Source organism: Homo sapiens, chromosome 1 (assembly GCF_000001405.40).
Source record: "Homo sapiens chromosome 1, GRCh38.p14 Primary Assembly".
Lineage (NCBI taxonomy): Eukaryota > Metazoa > Chordata > Mammalia > Primates > Hominidae > Homo > Homo sapiens.
In genome coordinates this window covers 44,916,353-44,939,353 of record NC_000001.11, presented here as the reverse complement: position 1 = coordinate 44,939,353, position 23,001 = coordinate 44,916,353, and the positions used below count along the sequence as shown (strand labels likewise).

The 23,001-nt window shown below is 41.1% G+C and overlaps 1 protein-coding gene and 1 pseudogene across 6 annotated transcripts in view; one reads left to right on the top strand and one right to left on the bottom strand.

Annotated features, from left to right (window-relative positions):
• The window catches only part of EIF2B3 (eukaryotic translation initiation factor 2B subunit gamma), a 136,074-nt gene that overhangs the window by 47,242 nt on the left and 65,831 nt on the right, over positions 1-23,001 (top strand). For all 6 annotated transcript variants that reach the window (XM_047433500.1, XM_047433499.1, NM_001261418.2 and 3 more), the window contains one exon: positions 12,615-12,726. In XM_047433500.1, the coding sequence (XP_047289456.1) occupies positions 12,615-12,726 (112 nt within the window). The remainder of the gene's footprint in view (positions 1-12,614; positions 12,727-23,001) is intronic.
• On the bottom strand, positions 6,923-7,031 carry RNA5SP47 (RNA, 5S ribosomal pseudogene 47; annotated as a pseudogene).

Sequence of the window (23,001 nt, the reverse complement as noted above, 5' to 3'; positions counted from 1 at the left end):
TGGATCCTTTATCCTCTGAAAAAGTATGATGTATACTGGTAACTTTCTATAGCTGGAGTGTGAATATAGGAGGCAGAGAAGCAGATAGGACTGGAGAAGAGCCAGATATCAGACGAAAGAGTTTGAATTCTTGCCCAAAACAGTGAGGAAGTTGTTGAAGTAAACAAGATAGTGTCATAATTAGATTAGATTAATGTTTTAAGAAGATTTTTCTTTCCTTTTGTTTCTTTTTTTTTTTTTTTTTTTTTTTTTGAGACAGGGTCTTACTCTGTTGCCGAGGCTAGAGTGCAGTGGCTCAATCTTGGCTCGCTGCAAACCTCTGCTTCCTGGGCTCAAGCAATCCTCCCACCTCAGCCTCCCGAGTAACTGGGACTATAGGCACTCGCCACCATGCCTGGCTAACTTTTTGTATTTTTTGTAGGCACAGGGTTTCACAATGTTGCCCAGGCTGGCCTCGAACTCTTGAGCTCAAAAGCAATCTCCCTGCCTCAGTCTCCCAAAGTGCTGGGATTAGAGGCATGAGTCACCACACTTGGCCTCTTTCTTTCTTTCTTTTTAAAAAGATACTGGGGGGCACCATGGCTCAGGACCGTAATCCTAGCACTTTGGGAAGCTGAGGCAAACAGATGGCTTGAGCCCAGGAGTTTGAGACCAGTCTGGGTAACATGGTGAAACCCCATCTCTACAAACAATTTTTTAAAAATTAGCTGGGCATGGTGGCTTGTGAGCCTCTAGTCCCAGCTACCTGGGAGGCTGAGGTGAGAGGATCACTTGAGCCCGGGATGTCGAGGCTACAGTGAACCATGATCATGCCACTGCACTCCAGAGTCTCACTCTGTCCCAAAAAAAAACAGAGAGAGAGAGAGAGAGAGAGAAATTAGGTCTCATTATGTTGCCCAGGCTGGTCTCAAACTCTTGACCTCAAGCAATTCTCCCACCTCAGCCTGCCAAGTAGCTGGTATTACAGGTACCAGCCATCACTCCTGTCAAGTTTTCATTCTTAATATGAAATTTTAAACTTCTCAATACCTATATTTTGTTACATTTGAAGGCTAAGATTCACCTAAATAATTGAGTTTTAAATTCCTCCCATAGAATGCTATGCATTTCCATCATAAGCATTTTTTAAAGAATCGTAAGTTTTTCAGATTATATATTTGGCATGCCTCTTGGCTGCTGTTGTGTGCCAGAACAGCCTGCAGTCCACTGTTTCCCAGATATTGTTTAATAGTCTAGATCTTCTAGACCCAACTTCCTCAAATGGCGTTCTTACTGACTTATAGGGGAATGGCTAATCTCTGGATGTTTCTGGAGCCACCTTTCTTCCCCTTGCACTTTCTTCTCAGAAAATTTATAGGAGATACTGATACTAAGAGGGCAGGATCAAATTCATGTTTAGACTTTTTGGAGTATTTCATTCCTGCTGCAGGTCTTTTTTTTTTTTTTTTTTTTTTTTTTTTTTTTTTTTTTGAGACGGAGTCTCGCTCTGTCGCCCAGGCTGGAGTGCAGTGGCGCGATCTCGGCTCACTGCAAGCTCCGCCTCCCGGGTTCACGGCATTCTCCTGCCTCAGCCTCCCGCGTAGCTGGGACCACAGGCGCCCGCCACCACGCCCGGCTAATTTTTTGTGTTTTTTAGTAGAGACGGGGTTTCACTGTGTTAGCCAGGATGGTCTCGATCTCCTGACCTCGTGATCCGCCCGCCTCGGCCTCCCAAAGTGCTGGGATTACAGGCGTGAGCCACCGCGCCCGGTCTGCTGCAGGTCTTTACACAGCTTCCTTGCCTGAAATGCTCTCTAGTCCCTTTCTCCTCCGAACACATATATTCCAAATCCAGCTTAGCCTTCAAGTTATTTCTGAGAAAGACCTATCCTGACCTTTTAATATAAACTATATCCTTTTGTTTGCCTACATATAGCAGCCTGCTCTCTTATTTACTCTTTCCCCTACTGGACTATAAGCTCCATAAGGGAAGGGATCATATCTGTTTTGTTTATTTTATTCCCAGCACCTGGCCCAGTTATGTCCCATGGTGAACAATCAATAAATATTATTGAATGGCCTGCTTATAAAGGCAGCTCTTCTTGCCCCCCACCCCAGGTAAGTGAAGATAGACCTGAGCACTAGCAGTTTAAAATCCTAAAGATGTTAGTCTGAGCTATAGTTGGATTCATAAGTAGGTATTACAAGAGCGCGTGAGCTTGTAATGCTTTTAGCAATATGGATCTAGCAGACTGATACTGACTACATTGTCTATTAATTTTATGTTTAGAAATGGTTTCAAGATTTTTAAAAAAATACCCAGCACTGCACCATGATTGTTAAGAGCACAAGGTCTATAGAGTTCAGACTGGGTTTCAGTGCTCAAAAGCTGTGGGATTTTGGGCAAATTACCTTGATCTTCATGAATTTCATTTTCTTCTGTTGTAAAGTGAGCCTGAATCCTTTCAGGATTTTTGTGAGAATTAAATGACATGTTTATAAGGCATGTGGCCCATTCGTTACCTGAAAGATAGTAGATGCTTAATAATTTGTAATTACTATTGTAATTTGGTACTGAAACTTAACAAATCTCATTTAATAACTTTGTAAACATTCTATATCACATATTTATTTCATGTAAAATGGCAGTACTTTAAAAAACCACAGAATATCAGAGTGTTTTTGTTTGCATTTTTACCATAATAGCTTGTAAGTTTGAAGGGAAACTCATAGTGACAAATGTCTAGACAAGCCTCTCTGGAAGGCTCACATGTAACTTTTTTTGAGACAGAGTCTCATTCTGTCACCCAGGCTGGAGTGCAATGGCGCGATCTTGGCTCACTGCAACCTCTGCCTCTCGGGTTCAAGCAATTCTCCTGCCTCAGCCTCCTGAGTAGGTGGGTTTACAGGCGTCCACCACCACGCTCAGCTAATTTTTTTTTTTTTTTTGTATTTTTAGTAGAGATGGGGTTTCACCATGTTGGCCAGACTGGTTTTGAACTCCTGACCTCAAGTGATCCACCCGCCTTGGCCTCCCAAAGTGCTAGGATTACAGCCATGAGCTACTGCGCCCAGCCCACATGTAACTTTTCTAGTGATTCAAACAGCCCTGCTTTCTAGCATTTTCTAGAATGTACCAACTTTTGAAAAAAAAATTTTTTTCTCAGGAAAGAAATGGACAACTTAGAAGTGTAAGCAAGACCCAGAAACCCAGCTAAGGCTGTGCGGGGAAATGGGGTTCTAAACTCTGAGAAACCTCATTTCTTTTTTTTCATCAGTAGATACCATTATTATTCAGCCATTGTCTCGCCATTGCTTGATACTACTTACTGAGTGAAAGGGTGAAGAGATCAGCTTACCACAGTTACTGAGTATGTATTATGCCAACTCCTGAACTAGGCACCAAGGCTATAGAAACAGAAAAAAAAAAAAACCAAAATGCCACAATATCCCTACCCTCAAGGAGACACAAAAAAGTGTTCATTGTACTCTCCCCAGTCATAGGGCATTTTAAGAAACTTGGAGTCTGATGGGGAAAATTAGACTAGGTATTGTGTTTTTAAAAGAATTTACAGGCTGGGTGCAGTGGCTCACGCCTATAATCCCAGCAGTTTGGGAGGCCAAGGTGGGAGGATCATTTGAGGTCAGCAGTTTGAGACCAGCCTGACCAACATGGTGAAACCCTCTCTCTCTAAAAATACAAAAAAATTAGCTGGGTGTGGTGGCACATGCCTGTAGTCCCAGCTACTCGGGAGGCTGAGGCAGGAGAATTGCTTGAACCCGGGAGGCAGAGGTTGCAGTGAGCCAAGATCACGCCACTGTATTCCACCCTGGGCAACAGAGCAAGACTCCATCTCCAAAATAAAAAAAGAATTTATAAAAGCCTCTCATTTGTAATTGTTTACATTCACAAACATCAAACAGTAAAGACGACACATAGAGAATTTCAGTGACACCGTATATGCATATATATCTTAAACTTGCAATAATATGTAAAAATAATTTGTTTTCCATCCCTTGTTAGAAACTTTCCTTTTCTCAATTTCAGTGAGAAGATAATATATTTATATTGCTTTATTGCAGATAATATGTTTATTAGGGGGCTTTTTTTCCTGTACATTCCTCTATGTAATTGTTTAATACTATCATGATTTAATGACACAAATCATTGACTATTGTCTCTATAGTCCCACTGTATCTCTTGGAATACTTGAAATAGAAAATGTTCTAGGAAACTTTATTTAACCAATCCAATTCACTGTAGTATTTCCCAAACTCCTTAGTTCTCAGAGTTATATGGCCTTGGCCCAGACTAGAATCAGTACATGTTAATGTACTTCAGAACCATGAGTGAAAACTCTTACTTGGCTGTCACCTCTTAATCGGCTTAGCTCCCTCTGCACTAACAGATGTTGGCAGGCAGTTCTGAGCCTGTACAGTATTTCTTTTGCTACAGCTTTCTTTACTTCTCTTGAAGCTGTACTACCAAAAAAAAACCTGTTTGGGCTTCTGTGTTAACTATTTTCTCCTCTCAGTCTTCCAAATCCCACCCCATTTTAAAAAATAAAGTGGGCCAGGCGTGTGGCACACACCTATAATCCCAGCACTTTGGGAGGCTGAGGTGGGTGGATCACCTGAGGTCAGGAATTCAAGACCAGTCTGGCCAACATGGTGAAACCCTGTCTCTACTAAAAATACAAAAATTAGCTGGGCGTGGTGGTGGGTGCCTGTAATCCCAGCTACTTGGGAGGCTAAGGCAGGAGAATTGCTTGAACCTGGGAGGTGGAGGTTGTAGTGAGCTGGGATCACCACTGCACTCCAGCCTGGGCAACAAGAACAAAATTCCTTCTCAAAAAATAAAAATAAAATAAAAAATAATAAAAAATTAAAAAAATTTAAAAAACAAAATAAAAATAAAGTGACTTGAAATTCCTACATACTCAAAATTGAATTTTGTTTTGTTTTGTTTTGTTTTTTGAGACAGAGTCTCACTCTGTCACCCAGGCTAGATCGCAGTGGCACAATCTTGGCTCACTGCAACCTCTGCCCTCCGAGTTCAAGTGATTCTCCTGCCTCAGCCTCCCGAGTAGCTGGGATTACAGGCGCCTGCCACTGCACCTAGCTAATTTTTTGTATTTTTTAGTAAAGACGAGGTTTTACCATCTTGGCCAGGCTGGTCTTGAACTCCTTACCTCGTGATCCACCTGCCTCAGCCTCCCAAAGTGCCGGGATTACAGGTGTGAGCCACTGTGCCCAGCCTGTTTCACTCTTGTTGCCCAGGTTGGAGTGCAATGGCACGATCTTGGCTCACCGCAACCTCCACCTCCTGGATTCAAGTGATTCTCTTGCCTCAGCCTCCCTAGTAGCTGGGATTACAGGCATGTGCCACCATGCCTGGCTAATTTTGTATTTTTAGTAGAGACGGGGTTTCTCCATTTTGGTCAGGCTGGTCTCAAACTCCCAACCTCAGGTGATCTTCCCGCCTCGGCCTCCCAAAGTGCTGGGATTACAGGTGTGAGCCACTGTGCCCAGCCATAATTTTCTTATTTACCAAGTGTTTGTCTTGTTTTTTATGGCCTAATAGCATTTTGACCTAATAGCATTTATGGCCTAATAGCATTTTGTGGACAGTTGCTCGAGATAACATCAGTGGTAAGTGGTAAGAGCCAGAACTCAAACCCATGCCTTCTGATTCCATAACCTGTGCTATTTCTTTTTTGAATTTAGTTTTTATCTTTATCAAAGTTTTATATGCCCAAAATTTAAAGAGTATCTAATTATCTAAGATATATTATAATAAATAGCAGCCCCTCACCCTATCTATCCTCACCCCACTTAGAGATGCCACTTTCAACATTTTCAGCTAATTTTTTGGCATTTAACTCCATATCTCCAAATAACGTGCTTTTATTTTCTGTGTCTTAATTTTTTTAGCTTTAAGAATTATCTGTTCACTTCTTACTATAGAATGTAAAGATTTGGTTCTATTTTACCACATGCTCTGCCCCCACTACATGTATGCAACCTTGTATTTGGCCCAATTTCCTAATATAGTTATTCATATTGTATTATTAATTAACTGAATATTTTATGTTTATATTATCATGACTGTATAAATAGTATTCACAGTTGAGCCTTGTAGTATATGATTACTTTTCTCTTTCCTCCTTTTGTTTTCCTAAAGATTGTCTTGTTTTTTCATTTGCTTGTTTTTTATGTATTTGTCACTAATTCAACCCAAGCTCCAATTGTGTGAATTTCCTCTCCTTACATTGCAACACACTAGATGTCCTCTCAATTTCAAATTCTTCAAGGTACCTCTCCTAAAGCTTTTCTAACCTGAGTTAGTTGCCCTGCTGTAGAGCTGTCATTTTAGGTTCACCCTTCACTGTCATATCTTGAACCTCACGTTTTCTTCTTTCTTACTTTATACCCACATTTTCTGTAGGACACATCCTCTGGAAGCCTCCTGAGGTACAGATTGTGAGAAGTAAATTTTTGAGCTTTTGTATCCCTGAAAGTGTCTTTATTCTGCCCACATATTTGTTTCATATTTTGGCTGGATATAAACTTCTCTTGGAAATCATATCCCCTCAAAATTTTGAAGGTTTTTTGTTTTGTTTTGTTTTGTTTTGTTTTACTGTCTTCTAGCTTTTCTTTTAAGAAGTCCAACATCATTCTGATTCTTGATTCTTTGCATGAAACACTTTTTTCCTCTTTTTCTTGGGATGGGAGGGGGAGCTTATAGGATCTTTTTGTTTCCGAAGTTCTTCAAGTGAGAACACTTAAAATCTACTCTCTTAGGAATTTTCAAGAATACAATACATTGTTACTAACTAGTCACCAGGTTGTATTAGGTCTCTTTATGAGCTTATTCCTCCTAAGTGAAATTTTGTATTCTTTGACAAAGGTCTCACAATAGTTTTTTGTTTGTTTGTTTGTTTGTTTATCACATGGTATTCCTAAGCAGACTTCCATGCAAGTACTAACTAGGCCTGACCCTGCATAGATCAGATGAGATCAGATGCCTTCAGGGTGATATGGCTGTAGACTTCCCACCCCCACCCAGTAGTCTAAGTTTCTGGTTTCTTTTTCTTGTCTTACTGTGCTGGCCAGGACCTCCAATAAAATTATGTGTACAAATGATGCTAGTTGGCACCCTTTTCTCATTCCTGATTTTAAAAGGAATATTTTCAACATCTCTCCAGTTAAAATGATGTTTATTACTATAGGGGTGTGTGTGTGTGTGTGTGTGTGTTCGTTTTGAGACAGTCTCTCTCTGTTGTCCAGGCTAGAAGGCAGTGGCACAATCTTGGCTCACTGCAACCTCCGCCTCCTGGGTTCAAGCAATTCTCCTGCTTCAACCTCCCAAGTAGCTGGGATTACCAGCATGTGCCACCATGCCCAGCTAATATTTGTGTTTTGGTATGAGGTTTTGCCATGTTAGCAGAGATGATCTTGAACTCCTAGCCTCAAATGATCCACCTGCCTTGGCCTCCCAAAGTGCTGGGATTATAGGCGTGAGCCACCATGCCCAGCGTACTATACATTTTTATAGGTACTTGTTATCAGATTGAGAAAGTTCCTTTCTAGTTCTGGTTTATTGGGAGCTTCTTGGCCTAAGGATATAAATTTTATCAGATGCTTTTTCTGCATCTATCAAGTGGTATATGATTTTTCTCTGATGATGTGATGATGATACCTGGGATAAACCCAACTCGGTCATGGCTTATTATCCTTTTACATGTTGTGTTAGTTTTTACTACATAACAAATGTTCGTAAACTCTAGTGGCTTAAAACAACAAACATTTACTTGCTTATGAGTCTGTAGGTTGGCAGTTTGGCCTAAGTGTAGCCAAGATGGCTCATCTCTGTTCAAGTGATATCAGCTAGTGTTTTAACAATTAATTACTTATAAAAGTTGCCACACATTTAACAGTTTAAAACAACACTGTGGGCCAAGAATCCAGGCATGACTTAGCTGGTCCACCAGTCTTTCAGAAGGCTGCAGTCAAGATGTCAGCTAGGGCTGGAGTCTCATCTGAAGGCTCAACTGGGAAGGGATTTGGTTCCAAGCTTACTTGGTTATTGGGAGAATTTCATTTCCCTAGGACTGTTGGACTGAACCTCAGTTTCCACCATGCTGTTGGCCAGAAGCTACCCTCCTTTCTTTATCACTTGGGCCTTTCCAACTTGGAAACTTACTTCATCAAAGCCAGCAAGGGAGAAACTCTTCTAGAAAGACAGAAGTCACAATCTTATGTAACCTAATTATAGAAGTAACATTTTATTACCTTTGCCACGTTCTGTTGGTTAGAAGCAAGTCACTAGGCCAGCCCACATTCAAGAAGGGATATACAAGAATGTGAATACCAGGAGGCAACTATCATTCTTATCTTAGTCTCCTGTAACTGGGCTCATTAATATGTATAGAGCCTTGGTTGGGCACAGTGGCTCACACCTGTAATCCCAGCACTTTGGGAGGTGGGTGGATCACCTGAGGTCAGGAGTTCGAGACCAGCCTGGCCAACATGGCAAAACCCCGTCTCTACTAAAAATACAAAAATTAGCTGGACATGGTAGCACATGCCTGTGGTCCCAGCTACTTGGGAGGTTGAGGCAGGAGAATTGCTTGAACCCGAGAGGCGGAGGTTGCAGTGAGCCAAGGTTGCACCACTGCACTCCAGCCTGGGCGACAGAGCAAGACTGCACCTCCAAAAAAAAGAAAAAAAATATATAGGGAGAGCCTCAGCCTTGACAGCTGGATTTTTCTTTTCATCTAGTCTCTTACCATCCAGGGGGTTAGCCCAGGCTTGTTTACAAGGTAGCAGCAGCAGGTTCTAAGCATGACAGCAGAGGCTACAAAGTCTCTTGAAGTCTAAACTCAAAACACACACTGTCACTTCAGCTGCTGCGCTCTGTTAGTTCAAAGCTAGTTATGGAGCAAGCCCAGATATAAAGGATAGGGAACTAACCTTACCTTTGGATAGGAGGAGCTCCAACAAGTTTGTGACCCTTTTTAATCTACTCGACATACTATTTTGACTTGCTAATGAGTAAATTTGCCTGTTCCTTTCTCATAATATCCTTGCCTGGTTTTGGCATCAGGATCATGCTGGCCTTATAAAATGAGTTGGAATTCCTAACTCTAGACATAGCACCTACCATAGGGTAGGTGTACAAAGATATTTATTGGTAGAATGAATGAATCAATGAATGAATGGATAAGCAAAATGCCTGTAGATGAGACAGAAGAATCAGTCAGAAAAGTAAAAATCAACTAGGGAAAAAAACGTGAATACTTGAATATGACGGACTTTTTTTTTAATAGAAGTTCAGTTTTGTCTGCTTTCTTAAGTTTGTGTAGCCTTTCTTCTTAGGAAGACATTCTACAATTACCTGCTCTGCTCCCAAAGTGAAATTCCTATTTTGCTAAAGCAGAACAGAAAGAAACCTTTCCAAGTTTCTATAATTTGTATCACATTCTGAAGTCCCAGTTACTGTAATAGCTGCAAAGAAGCAATACAAGGTGGAGGGTCTGAGAGGGAGAGAAAAATGACTAAAGTGCAACATAGCTGAAAAATTGGCTGGCTGGAAATTATTGCTCCCAGGACATCAGTGATTCAAGGTTTCTGTGAGCCTTAGGACTTGAGTAGGGGAAGCATTCCAAATTATATCCAAAAATAACATCTCCGTGTTTCTTTTGTTAAATGGCTGGCTCATAATGAGACCCTTACAGACTTTGTTACATTCTCAAGTTTCCATGTAATGTATAAGTTGATATATGTCTAAGCTGCTATGTGGCATTTGAAATTCTCTGCAAAATTTAGCTTCAGATTGGCAGCATTTGCTCTTCCTTTTTTGGATTTCATTTGGTTATTGAACTAAAAAACCCCAACATATAATTTTTTATAATTGTTTTTCCTCATTTATATTAAAACACTGCATATAAGATGACCAGAGACCATCTGATTGGTGATCTTGAATACTTTCAAGTACCTGAGCTAAACGTATTGTACAATTGAATCATATATTTGGTTATAGGTATACAGGCAGCTTTAGCCAACAGCGAAACATATTCTGTTATTTAGCAGCCATTGTCTGTCAGTAGGAAGCAAATTCATCTTTACAGATCTCATTTTTCCTAGAGCTAAACTTTCTGTTTCTCCTATGTAAAGAGGTATTGAGGCATTGCTTTATGTGGTTGTTGTGAGGATTAAATTAGAGGGTGTATTTTGTTTAATTTTTAAACTTAACATTTTATTTAATGTTTTAGTTAATAACACTATTATAAATTCTTTACAAATATTAATTCACTTATTCTGCATAATAAACCTGTGAGACAAACACTATTATTATCCCCATTTTATAGATGAAACTGAGGAAGAGAGGTTAAGTAACTTGCTCTAACATAAACTGGTAATTGGCTGAGCTGGGATTCATACCTAGGCAGTCTGGCTCCAGAAGTTCTGTTCTTAATCATTCTGCTATTTTGTCACTATGAGAAAATGTTTCTGTAAGCTATAGATACTGTACAGATGTTAGTAGCACATATTATTAAGTATGTAACACTGTACTAGATGTTATGGGAGATAGAAAAGAATCAGAAGCCTGCCTTTGAAAAGTTTATAATCTAGTCGGGGAAGAGAAGTATGACATAGAAAATAGCAATAATATAGCAGCCTGTAAGATCACTGTCTACCAAGACCTCTTCACACATAATAAAATATAGACTATACATAGCATAGAATCTACTGCCTGTAGTTAATGTTGGTTGAATGTGGATGACTTTAAATAATATTATTCCCATTTTCACAGTAAGAAGACCTAGGTTATTATTTGCAGAGAGAAAATTCTTTAAAAAAAAAAAAAACGAAGCGCCCTAAATAAATAAAGTAACTTTACTTAATTAATTAATTTATTTATTGAGATGGAGTCTCACTCTGTCGCCCAGGCTGGAGTGCAGTGGTGTGATCTCAGCTCACTGCAGCCTCTGCCTCCCAGGTACAAGTGATTCTCCTGCCTCAGCCTCCCAAGTACCTGGGATTACAGGCGCCTGCCACCACACTCGGCAGCTGATTTTTTTATTTTTAGTAGAGACGAGTTTCACCATGTTGGCCAGGCTGGTCTGGAACTCCTGACCTCAGGTGATCCACCTGCCTTGGCCTCCCAAAGTGCTGGGATTACAGGTGTGAGCCACCATGCCCGGCCTATTTATTTCTGAGAGAAGGTCTTGGTCTGTCACCCGAGCTGGAGTGCAGTACAGCAGTCATGGCTCACTGCAGCCTTAGCCTCCCAGGCTAAAGGGATCCCCCTGCCTCAGCTTCCTCACTATAGGTGCATGCCACCATGCCCAGCTAATTTTTTTATTATTTGTAGAGATGAGGTCTTGCAGTGTTGCCCAGGCTGATCTTGAATTCCTGGGCTCAAGTGATGCTTCTGCCTCAGCCTCCCAAAGTGCTGGAATTACAGGCAGGAACCACTGCCCAGCCACTCTCTCTTTCTTTGTAATATATATTCAATATATATAATGCATACATAATATAATATATATGATTATTATTTTCTGAGCTATCTGAGAATAAGTTGCAGATATGATTTTCCTTTGCCTTTAAATACGTCAATAAGTATTTCCTCCCTCTCCTCCAAAAATGATAGTCTCTCAAAACAGGAAATTACATTGGTACCATACTTTAACATACAGACCTTGTTTAAACGTCACCAATTAATAATATCCTTTAGAGCAGTACAAAACAAATTTGATCACCTATGTTTTAAACACCATGGCATGTGCTATAGGACACTCATTGGTATAGTTTGGATGTTCCCCCAAATCTCTTGTTGAAATGTAATCCCCAGTGTTGGAGGTAGGGCCTGGTGGGAGGTGTTTGGGTCATGGGTGCGGATCCCTCATGGCTTGGTGCTGTTCTTGTGATAGTGAGTGAGTTCTCATTTAAAGGTGTATGGCATCTCTCCCCCAGCTCTCTCTTATTCCCTCTCTTGCCATGTGACCAGCCTGCTCTCGCTTTACCTTCTGCCATGAGTAAAAAGTTCCCTGAGGCTTCCCCAGAAACCTCCTGTATGCTTCCTGTATACCCTGCAGAACCATGAGACAATTATAAATTATAAATCTTTCTTTGTAAATTACCTAGTTGCAGATTCTTTATAGTAACGCAAAATGGCCTAACGCACTTATTATAGCTCCTCTCTCATCTCAATCCTGTTTTTTTTTTTTGAGATGGAATCTCACTCTGTCACCCAAGCTGGAGTGCACTACAGTGGCACGATCTCAGCTCACTGCAACCTCCACCTCCCGGGTTCAAGTAATTCTCCTGCCTCAGCCTCCCAAGCAGCTGGGACTACAGGGCGTAACACCACACTCGGCTAATTTTTGTATTTTTAGTAGAGACAGTCTTTCGCCATGTTGGCCAGGCTGGTCTCAAAGTCCTGACCCCAGGTGATCCACCCACCTTGGCCTCCCAAAGTCTTGGGATTACAGGCGTGAGCCACTGCACCCACCCTTCAATCCTGTGTTGTTTCCAAGAGCACTGAGCAGATACTGTGTTCCCTGGTGTATTCATACAGGCAGGGCAAATGGCTTTATTTGATTTTTTTTTTCTTTTGTATGATTCAGTGGAGCAGCGTGACTTCATTGGAGTGGACAGCACAGGAAAGAGGCTGCTCTTCATGGCTAATGAAGCAGACTTGGATGAAGAGCTGGTCATTAAGGGATCCATCCTACAGAAGTAAGCCCTAGGGTTTTTTCTTCTGGCAATTCTCCTTGTCTTAAAACAAAATAAAACCACCCAGTGGATGGGAAAGAGGGAATGAAAACTAGACTATACTGTGTGAAATTGACAAAAGTATGTGAATATTTTTCCCATGAGACAGGATGAAGGCTTTTCTTCACTGCATAAGCCTGTTTCCCTGTCTTTTCTTGCCAAGGTAGAGCCAAATCCTGCAAAAGAGTAAAGCAAAGCAGCTGTGAGGAGAACAGGACTGTCTTTCTGACAGTGTTATAAATCCCCTTTAAAAAAAAAAGTGGTAAAAAAAACACATGACATAAAATGTACCATTGTAACCTTTGTTTTTTTGTTTTGTTTTGGTTTGGTTTGGTTTGGCTTTGGTTTTTGTTTTAAGTTTTTTGAGACTGAGTCTCACTCTGTCACCCAGGCTGGAGTACAGTGGTGCAATCTTGGCTCACTGCGACCTCTGCCTCCTGGGTTCAAGTGATTCTCCTGCCTCAGCCTCCTGAGTAGCTGGGATTACAGGTATGCGCCACCACGCCCAGCTAATTTTTGTATTTTTAGTAGAGACGGAGTTTCACCATGTTGGCCAGGCTGGTCTCTAGCTCCTGACCTCAAGTGATCCGCCCACCTCGGCCCCCCAAAGTGCTAGGATTACAGGCGTGAGCCACCGTGCGGCCCATTCTAAGTGGCCTTTTTTTTTGGAGAGGGAGTCTTGCTCTGTTGCCCAGGCTGGAATGCAATGGTGCAATCTTGGCTCACTGTAACCTCCGCCTCCCAGGTTCAAGCGATTCTCCTGCCTCAGCCTCCCAAGCAGCTGGGACTACAGGCATGTGCCACCACACCCAGCTAATTTTTGTATTTTTAGTAGATACGGGGTTTCACCATATTGGCTGGGCTGGTATTGAACTCCTGACCCGTAGTCCACCCGCCTCAGCCCCCAAAGTGCTGGGGATTACAGGAGTGAGCCACCGTGCCCAGCCCTAAGTGGCCATTTTTAAGTGAACAGTTGAGTAGTGTTAAATGTGTTCACATTGTGGTGAAACAGATCTCGAGAACTTTCATCTTGCAAATCTGAAATTCTATACCTATCAAACAACAGCTCCCCTCCCCATTTTTTTCTCCCCGCAAGGCCTTGCTACCCACGATTCTACTTTAAATATCTAAGTGAAATCATACAATATTGGTCTTTTTGTGACTGGCTAATTTTACTTAGCATAATGTCCTCAAGGTTTGTCCATGCCGTAGCATATAACGGATTTCGTTTTTTTTAAGGCTGAATAATACTCCGTTGTATGTATGTAGCCACATTTTGTCATCCATTTATCTTCTGACAGACATTTGAGTTGCTGCCACCTCTTGGCTATTGTGAATAGTGCTGCAGTGAACGTGGGTGTACAGACATCTCTTCAAGACCTTGCTTTCAGTTCTTTTGGATATATATTTAGAAGTGGGATTACTGGATCATATGGTAGAGAACTATGATGTTTAATTTTTTGAGGAAACTACATACTGTTTCCATGGCATTTTCACTATTTTACAATCCCACCAACAGTGCATAAGAGCCCCAGTTTCTCCACACCAGTACTTACATGGTAGCTGGTCTCAGATACAGAAGGAAAAGAGAATTCATTTATGTTATATCAAAACAAATAAAACATCTGGGCAGAGCCATGACTCAAGCATGAGTAAGCTCAAAAGAATCAGAATGTCAGCTGTACAAATATACTACAGAAAACAAAATGAAAGCAAGAAAAATGTCCCGTAAAAGACAAAGAAGCTATCCTGAAAAGAATATAACTCAAGAAACAGAAGAAATTTTCTTAAAACTATGCAACTGTATAACCATAAAACTACTTATTACAACATGAATTTAATAAATAAAAGTTCAGTAATGAGATGATAAAAAAGAGGATATTATAGAACCAAAAAAAAGAGGATTGGCCAGGCATGGTGGCTCACGCCTGTAATTCCAGCACTTTGGGAGGCAGAGGCAGGTGGATCACAAGGTCGGGAGATCGAGACTATCCTGGCTAACACAGTGAAACCCCGTCTCTACTAAAAATACAAAAATTAGCCAGGCGTGGTGGCATGTGCCTGTAGTCCCAGCTACTTGGGAGGCTGAGGCAGGAGAATTGCTTGAACCCAAGAGTCAGGGGTTGCAGTGAGCCTAGATTGCGCTGGGCGACAGAGTGAGACTCGGTCTCAAAAAACAAACAAAAACAAACAAACAAAAAAAGGATTAAATTATTACAGAGTTAATAAATTTTAAAATAGCTAAAGAATGGCATAGACACCACTGAAAATCAAATTATTGACAAAGAGGAATGGTCTGAGATATCAGTGATCTAGGTAAAAAAGAAAATCGTTTAAGAAATTAGAATCTCTGGCTGGGCGCGGTGGCTCACGCCTGTAATCCCAGCACTTTGGGAGGCCTAGGCGGGGGGATCACGAGGTCAGGAGATCAAGACCATCTTGGCTAACACGGTGAAACCCTGTCTCTACTAAAAATACAAAAAATTAGCTGGGTGTGGTGGCAGGCACCTGTAGTCCCAGCTACTCGGGAGGCTGAGGCAGGAGAATGGCATGAACCTGGGAGGCAGAGCTTGCAGTGAGCCGAGATTGCACCGCTGTACTCCAGCCTGGGTGACACAGCGAGACTCTGTCTCAAAAAAAAAAAAAAAAAAGGAAAGAAATTAGAATCTCTGAGGTTGGAGGATTGCTTGAGCCTAGGAGGTTGAGGCTGCAGTGAGCCATGATTGTACTACTGCACTCCAGGCTGGGTGACAGAGTGAGACCCTGTCTCAAAAAAATGAAAGAAAGAAAGAGAGAAAGAGAAGGAGGGAGGGAGGAAGGAAGGGAGGAAAAGAAAGAAATTAGAATCTCATAGAAATGAAATACAAAGATGATTAAATGTAATTAATGAATTAATGCCTCTGAATTAGAACATGGATTTCTAGAAAGAAAGAAATGGAGAGAAGAAAACATCAGTGAAATAATTTTTAAAATTTTCTGAGGATAAAAGGAACTGGGTTTCTAGACTGAAAGGAAACTGAGTTCCCAGTAAAATGGAGAAAAGAAACATACCAAGGTTATCATTGTGAAATTTTATAACTGCTAACAAAGAGATCTTACAAGCTCCCGGAGAGGAGAGAGGATATCATATACAAAGGAATTAAAATAGCTTTGAACTTCCTAACAGCAATACTGGCAACTATAAACAATGACTTTAACATTCTTATTTCTATCTAATCAAACTATCAATCAAATATGAGAGTAGAATGAGAACTTTTTAGACATTTGTTTTCCATGCATCTATTTTGAGAAAGCTTACTAGACAAGGATGCCCACTTTCACTGCTGTTACCCAGCATAGTACTGGAAGTCCTAGCTAGAGCAGTCAAACAAGAGAAGGAAATAAAGGGCATCTAAATTGGAAAGGAAGAAGTCAAATTATCTGTGTTTGCAGATGAAATAATCTTGTATTTGGAAAAAACTAAAGACTCCATGAAAAACTATTAGAACTGATAAATATAGTAAAGTTCCAGGATACAAAGTCAATATATGAAAATCAGTAGTATTTCTATATGCTAACAGCAAAGGATCTGAAAAAGAATTAGCCAGGCATGGTGGTATGTGCCTGTAGTCCCAGCTACTTGGGAGGCTAACGCATGAGAAGTGCTTGAAGCTGGGAGGCAGAGGTTACAGCGAGCCGAGATGGTGCCGCTGCACTCCAGCCTGGGCAACAGAGCAAGACTCAGTCTCAAAAAAAAAAAAAAAAAAAAAAAAAAATCTGAAAAAGAAATCAAGAAAGTAATTCTATTACAATAGCTACAAATAAAATAAATTACCTGGGGATTAACTTAACCAAAGAAGCAAAAGGTCTCTACAATGAAAATTATAAAATATTGATGCAAGAATTTGAAGAGGACACAAAAAATGGAAAGATATTCCATGTTCATGGATTGAAAAAATCAGTATTGTTACAATATCCATACTCCTCAAAGCAATCTGCAGATTTTTTTTTTTTTTTTTTTGTCTTGAGACAGAGTCTCGCTCTATATCCCAGGCTAGAGTGCAGTGGTGTGATCTCAGCTCACTGCAACCTCCACCTCCCGGGCTCAAATGATTCTCCTGCCTCAGCCGCCCAAGTAGCTGGGATTACAGGCGCCCACCACCATGCCCAGCTAATTTTTGTATTTTTAGTGGAGATGGGGTTTCACCATGTTGCCCAGGCTGGTCTTGAACTCCTGACCTCAGGTGACCCTCCCGCCTCGGCCTCCCAAAGTGCTGAGATTACAGGCGTGAGCCACCATGCCTGGCTGCAATCTATAGATTTTATGCAATCCCTATCAAAATACCAATGACATTCTTCACAGAAATAGAAAAAACAATCCTAAAGTTTATATGGAATTGGCTGGGCATGGTGGCTCACGCCTGTAATTCCAGCACTTTGGGAGGCCAAGGCGGGTGAATCATTTGAGATCAGGAGTTAGAGACCAGAGACCAGCCTGGCCAGTGTGGTGAAACCCCATCTCTACTAAAAATACAAAAATTAGCTGAGCGTGGTTGTGGGCGCCTGTGATCCCAGCTACTTGGGAGGCTGAGGCAGGAGTATCACATGAGATGGAGGTTGCAGTGAGCTGAGATTGCGCCATTGCACTCCAGCCTGGGTGACAGAGCAAGACTCCATCTCAAAAAAAAATAAATAAAATAAAATAAAATAAAAAAATATATATATATGGAATTACAGAAGACCCAGAATAGCCAAAGTTATCCTAAGCAAAAAGAACAAAGCTACAGGAATCATATTACCTGACTTCAAATTATACTACAGAGCTTTGGTAACCAAAACAGCATGGTACTGACATAAAAACAGACACATAGGTCAGTGGAACAGAATAGAGAACCAGAGATAAATCCATACACCTTCAGTGAACTCATTTTTGACAAAGGTGCCAAGAATATACGTTGGGGAAAGGACAATCTCTTCAATAAATGGTGCTAGGAAAACTGGATATCCATATGCAAAAGAATGAAACTAGACCCCTGTCTCTTGCCATATACAAAAATCAAATAAAAATGGTTAAAGACCTAAATCTAAGACCTCAAACTATGAAGCTACTACAAGAAACCATTGAGGAAAGTCTCCAGGACATTGGTCTGAGCAAAGATGTCTTGAGTAATACCCCACAAGCACAGGCAACCAAAGCAAAATGGACAAATGGGATCATATCAAGTTAAAAAGCTTTTGCACAGCAAAGGAAACAATCAATAAAGTAAAGAGACAACCCACAGAATGAGAGAAAATATTTGCAAACTACCCATCTGACAAGGGATTAATAACCAGAATATAGAAGGAGCTCAAACAACTCTATAGGAGAAAACCTAATCTGACTTTTAAATAGGCAAAAGATTTGAATAGACATTTCTCAAAAGAAGTCATACAAATAAATGCCAAGCAGATATATGAAAAGGTGTTCAACATCACTGATCATCAGAGAATGCAAATAAAAACAATGAGATGTCATCTCACCTTAGGTAAAATGCCTTTTATCCAAAAGTGAGGTAGTAGCAAATGCTGGCAAGGTTGTAGAGAAAGGGGAACTCTCATATACTGTTTATGGGAATATAAATTAGTACAGCCACTATGGAGAACAGTTTGGAGGTTCCTCAAAAAAGTAAAAAATAGAGCTACCATACAATCCAGCAATCCCACTCCTAGGTATATACCCACAAGAAAGGAAATCAGTATATTGAAGAGATATTTGCGTTCCTATGTTTATTGCAGCACTGTTCACAATAGCCAAGGTTTGGAAGCAACCTAAGCGTCCATCAACAGATGAATGGATAAAGAAAATGTGGTACATATACACAATTAAGTACTATTCAGACATAAAAAAGAATGAGATCCTGTCATTTACTACAACATGGATGGAACTGGAGGTCATTATGTTAAGTGAAATAAGCCAGGCTCAGAAAGACAAACTGCATGTTTTCACTTACTTGTTTGTGTGAGCTAAAAATCAATGGAACTCATGGAAGTAGAGAGTAGAAGGATGATTACCAGAGGCTGGAAAGGGTAGAGAGTGTGGGGGTGGTGGGAGTGGGGAATGGTTAATGGGTACAAAAAATTAGTTAGAAAGAATGAATAAAACCTAATATTTGCTAGCACAACAGGGTGACTATAATAAAAAATAATTTAATTGTACATTTTAAAATAACTAAGAGAGTATAATTGGATTGTTTGTCACACAAAAGATAAATGCTTGAGGTAATGGATACCCCCATTTACCCTGATGTGATTATTACGTATTGCATGCCTGTGTCAAAATATCTCATGTAACCCATCAGTGTATGTACCTAGCATGTACTCACAAAAATTAAAAATTAAATTAAAAAAGGAAAGCTGCTAGAGTTTATATAGCACCAAAACCTTAGCATAAACTAAGAAAGAGGAAGACACAGGATATAAGAAAAAGGGCACTGATGCTTGAACCTGGGAGGCAGAGGTTGCAGTGAGCCTAGATCGCATCATTGCACTCCAGCCTGAACGACAGAGGGAGACTCTGCTCGAAAAAAAAAAAAAAGAAAGAAAAAGGACATTCAGGCCGGGTGCAGTGGTTCATGCCTATAATCCCAGCACTTTGGGAGGCCGAGGTGGGCGGATCACGAGGTCAGGAGATCAAGACCATCCTGGCCAACATGGAGAAACTCCATATCTACTAAAAAAAAAAAAAAAAAAGTAGCCAGGCATGTTGTCGCATGCGTGTAATCCCAGCTACTTGGGAGGCTGAGGCAGGAGAATCGCTTGAACCCGGGAGGTGGAGATTGCGGTGAGCCGAGATTGCACCACTGCACTGCAGCCTGGTGACAGAGTGAGCCTCCGTCTCAAAAAAAAAAAAAAAAAAAAGGACATTCAATTAAGATGAAATGAATCCCCAGTATGATGATGAAGGGAGATTCCAGGCTAACACATGTACACCCAGTATAAATGGCAACCAGACCACACTGGAATAGGTCAGAAAACTTGGGAATGATTTCTTCAAGATGATCATATTTCTTCTGATGAAAATGACACAACATGTGATGTGTTTCAACATTTTGAGACGATTTGGAGCACTTAAGTAGTTAGTTTGGAGTTGAACTATTGGTAAGCACCTAGAAAACTAAGAAATAAGACAATTATTCACACCAAGGCAAACCACAAAAATGTGCAGGTGAAAAAATTCTTAGTGACTGTGTGGTTCAGCTGTAACTAATTTTTTTTTTTTTTTTTGAGAGGGAGTCTCAGTCTGTTGCCCAGGCTGGAGTGCAGTGCCGTGATCTCAGCTCACTGCAACCTCCACCTCCTGGGTTCAAGTGATTCTCCTGCCTCAGCCTCCCGAGTAGTTGGGATTACAGGCGTGTGCCACCACGCCCAGCTAATTTTTTTGTATTTTTAATAGAGATGGAGTTTCACCATGTTGGCCAGGCTGGTTTCGAACTCCTGACCTCAAGTGATCCACCCACCTCAGCCTCCCAAAGTGCTAGGATTACAGGCATTAGCCACTGAGCCCGGCCTGTAACTAATATTTAAATATGCATACTAATGCAGTCACTGATACAGTCTAACCCAAATTATGATTTAATTACTTTGGAATGATGAGATGAGGTTAGTATGTTGGAAGCATGAGGGAATAAAAGAGTGAAATCGTCCTTTTCTATAGTAAATAGCTAATACGTAGAGCTGAAGTCATAATAACTTAAGCATTGATTATTGAGCTGACCAAAATAATATAACAATTATTGGGAAGGTAAAACGCATAAGGAAGTATGGGTGTATATGATGGGAGCAGGGTTGATGATGAAAATAAGTTAAATCCTGTTTTCCACAATGGAAAATCAGATTATTCCTGAAATGGAAAACCTGAAAAATACCAATATAAGAATGCTATTGGTTAGGTGCAGTGGCTTACGCCTGTAATCCCAGCACTTTGGGAGGCAGAGGCAGGTGGATCACCTGAGGCCAGGAGTTTGAAACCAGCCTGGCTAACTTGGTGAAACCCTGTTTCTACTAAAAATACAAAAAATTAGCCGGGTGTGGTGGTGTGCACTGGTAATCCCAGCTACCCAGGAGGCTGAGGCAGGAGAATTGCTTGAACCTGGGAGGCGGAGGTTACAGTAAGCCAAGCTGGCGCCATTGCACTCCAGCTTGTGCAACAAGAGTGAAACTCCGTCTTAAAAAAAAAAAAGCTACTATGCTATTGCTGGGCACAGAGGCTCACTCCTATAATCCCAGCACTTTGGGAGGCCAAGACGGCCAGGTCACTTGAGGTCAGAAGTTTGAGACCAGACTGGTCAACATGGTGAAATCCTCTCTACTAAAATTAGAAAAATTATTTGAGCGTGGTGGTGGATGCATGTAATCCCAGCTACTCGGGAGGCTGAGGCAGGAGAATCGCTTGAACTTGGGAGGCAGAGATTACAGTGGAGCCAAGATTGTGCCACTGCACTGCATTCCAGCCTGGGGGACAGAGCGAGACTCCATCTCAAAAAAAAAAAAAAAAAAAAAAAGGCTGGGCACAGTGGCTCATGCCTGTAATCCCAGCACTTTGGGAGGCCGAGGCGGGTGGATCATGAGGTCAGGAGATTGAGACCATCCTGGCTAACACGGTGAAACCCCGTCTCTACTAAAAATACAAAAAATTAGCCGGGCGTGGTGGCAGGCGCCTGTAGTCCCAGCTACTCAGGATGCTGAGGCAGGAGAATGGTGTGAACCCGGGAGGCGGAGCTTGCAGTGAGCCGAGATCGCACCACTGAACTCCAGCCTGGGCAACAGAGGAAGACTCCGTCTCAAAAAAAAAAAAAAAAAAAAAAAAAAAAAAAAAAAAGAGTGTTATTGGTGGCAAAATAAATACTAAGTGGATCTGCTAAAAGAGTTACAAATGGGCATATCTGGGGAACAGAAAATGGGCAGGAAAGGGAATAGATGATTCAGTTTTTTTCATTAAAAGCCTTGAGAAACTACTTGCCTCTTTATATGCATATATAACTTCAATTTTAATTTTTTAAAATAAGAGCAAGATATATAATACATTAAAATTTCTGAATCAAGTAAAATCTGAAGATTTTTTTTTCTTTTTTTTTTTTTTGAGATGGAGTTTTTGCTGTTGTTGCCTAGGCTTGAGTATAATGGCGTGATCTCGGCTCACCGCAACCTCTGCCTCCCGGGTTCAAGATATTCTCCTGCCTCAGCCACCAGAGTAGCTGGGATTATAGGCATGAGCCACTATGCCTGGCTGATTTTGTATTTTTAGTAGAGACGGGGTTTCACCATGTTGGTCAGGCTGGTCTCAAACTCCTGACCTCAGGTGATTGGCCCGCCTTAGCCTCACAAAGTGCTGGGATTACAGGTGTGAGCCACCGCACCTGGCACATCTGCAGATTTTAAGAGTATAGTGTGTTCTAAGATAATTTGGCCAGATTTATCCTAATGTACTTATGAAGCTTCAGGGATAAAGAGAGAATTCAAGTATCCAGAGGCAAAAAGCAAATCATTTACATGGAAGAAAAAAATTAGGCTTACCTCTGAGTTATTCCCAACATTTAATACAAGAGGAACAATGTCCCGTCCACAGACTTTTCAGGGAAAGCAAGTGGAACTCGAGAATATTATAAACTGAGTATGCAGATTGATAGATAACCAGAAAAAAAAGAATATTATAAACAATGAAGATTTTATTCAAATATAAAAGCAGTAGGCATTCTCAGGCATGAAAAGACTTATGACATATGAGCCCTGAGCCCTTCCTTTTCTTTTTTCTTTTTTTTTTTTTGCGACAGAATCTTGCTCTGTCTCAAGGCTGGAGTACAGTGGCTCACTGCAGCCTCTGCCTCCTGGGCTCAATCAATCCTCCTACCTCAGCCTCCTGAGTAGCTACCACTATGGGTGTGCACCACCACATTTGGCTAATTTTTGTTTGTTTTTTGTTGCGAGGAAGTCTCATTATATTGCCCAGGCTGGTCTCAAACCCCTGGGCTCAAGTGATCCTCCCACCTTGGCCTCCCAAAGTGCTGGGATTACAGGAGTGAGCCACCATGCCAGGCCTGAGCCCTTCTTGAAAATAAAACTTCAACCAGCCTGTAATCCTAGCACTTTGGGAGGCCAAGGTGGGAGGATCACTTGAGCCCTGGAGTTTGAGATCAGCCTGGGCAATATGGTGAGATCTTGTCTCTATAAAAATAAAAATAAAAAAAAATAACCAAGCATGGTGGTGTATCCCTGTAGTCCCAG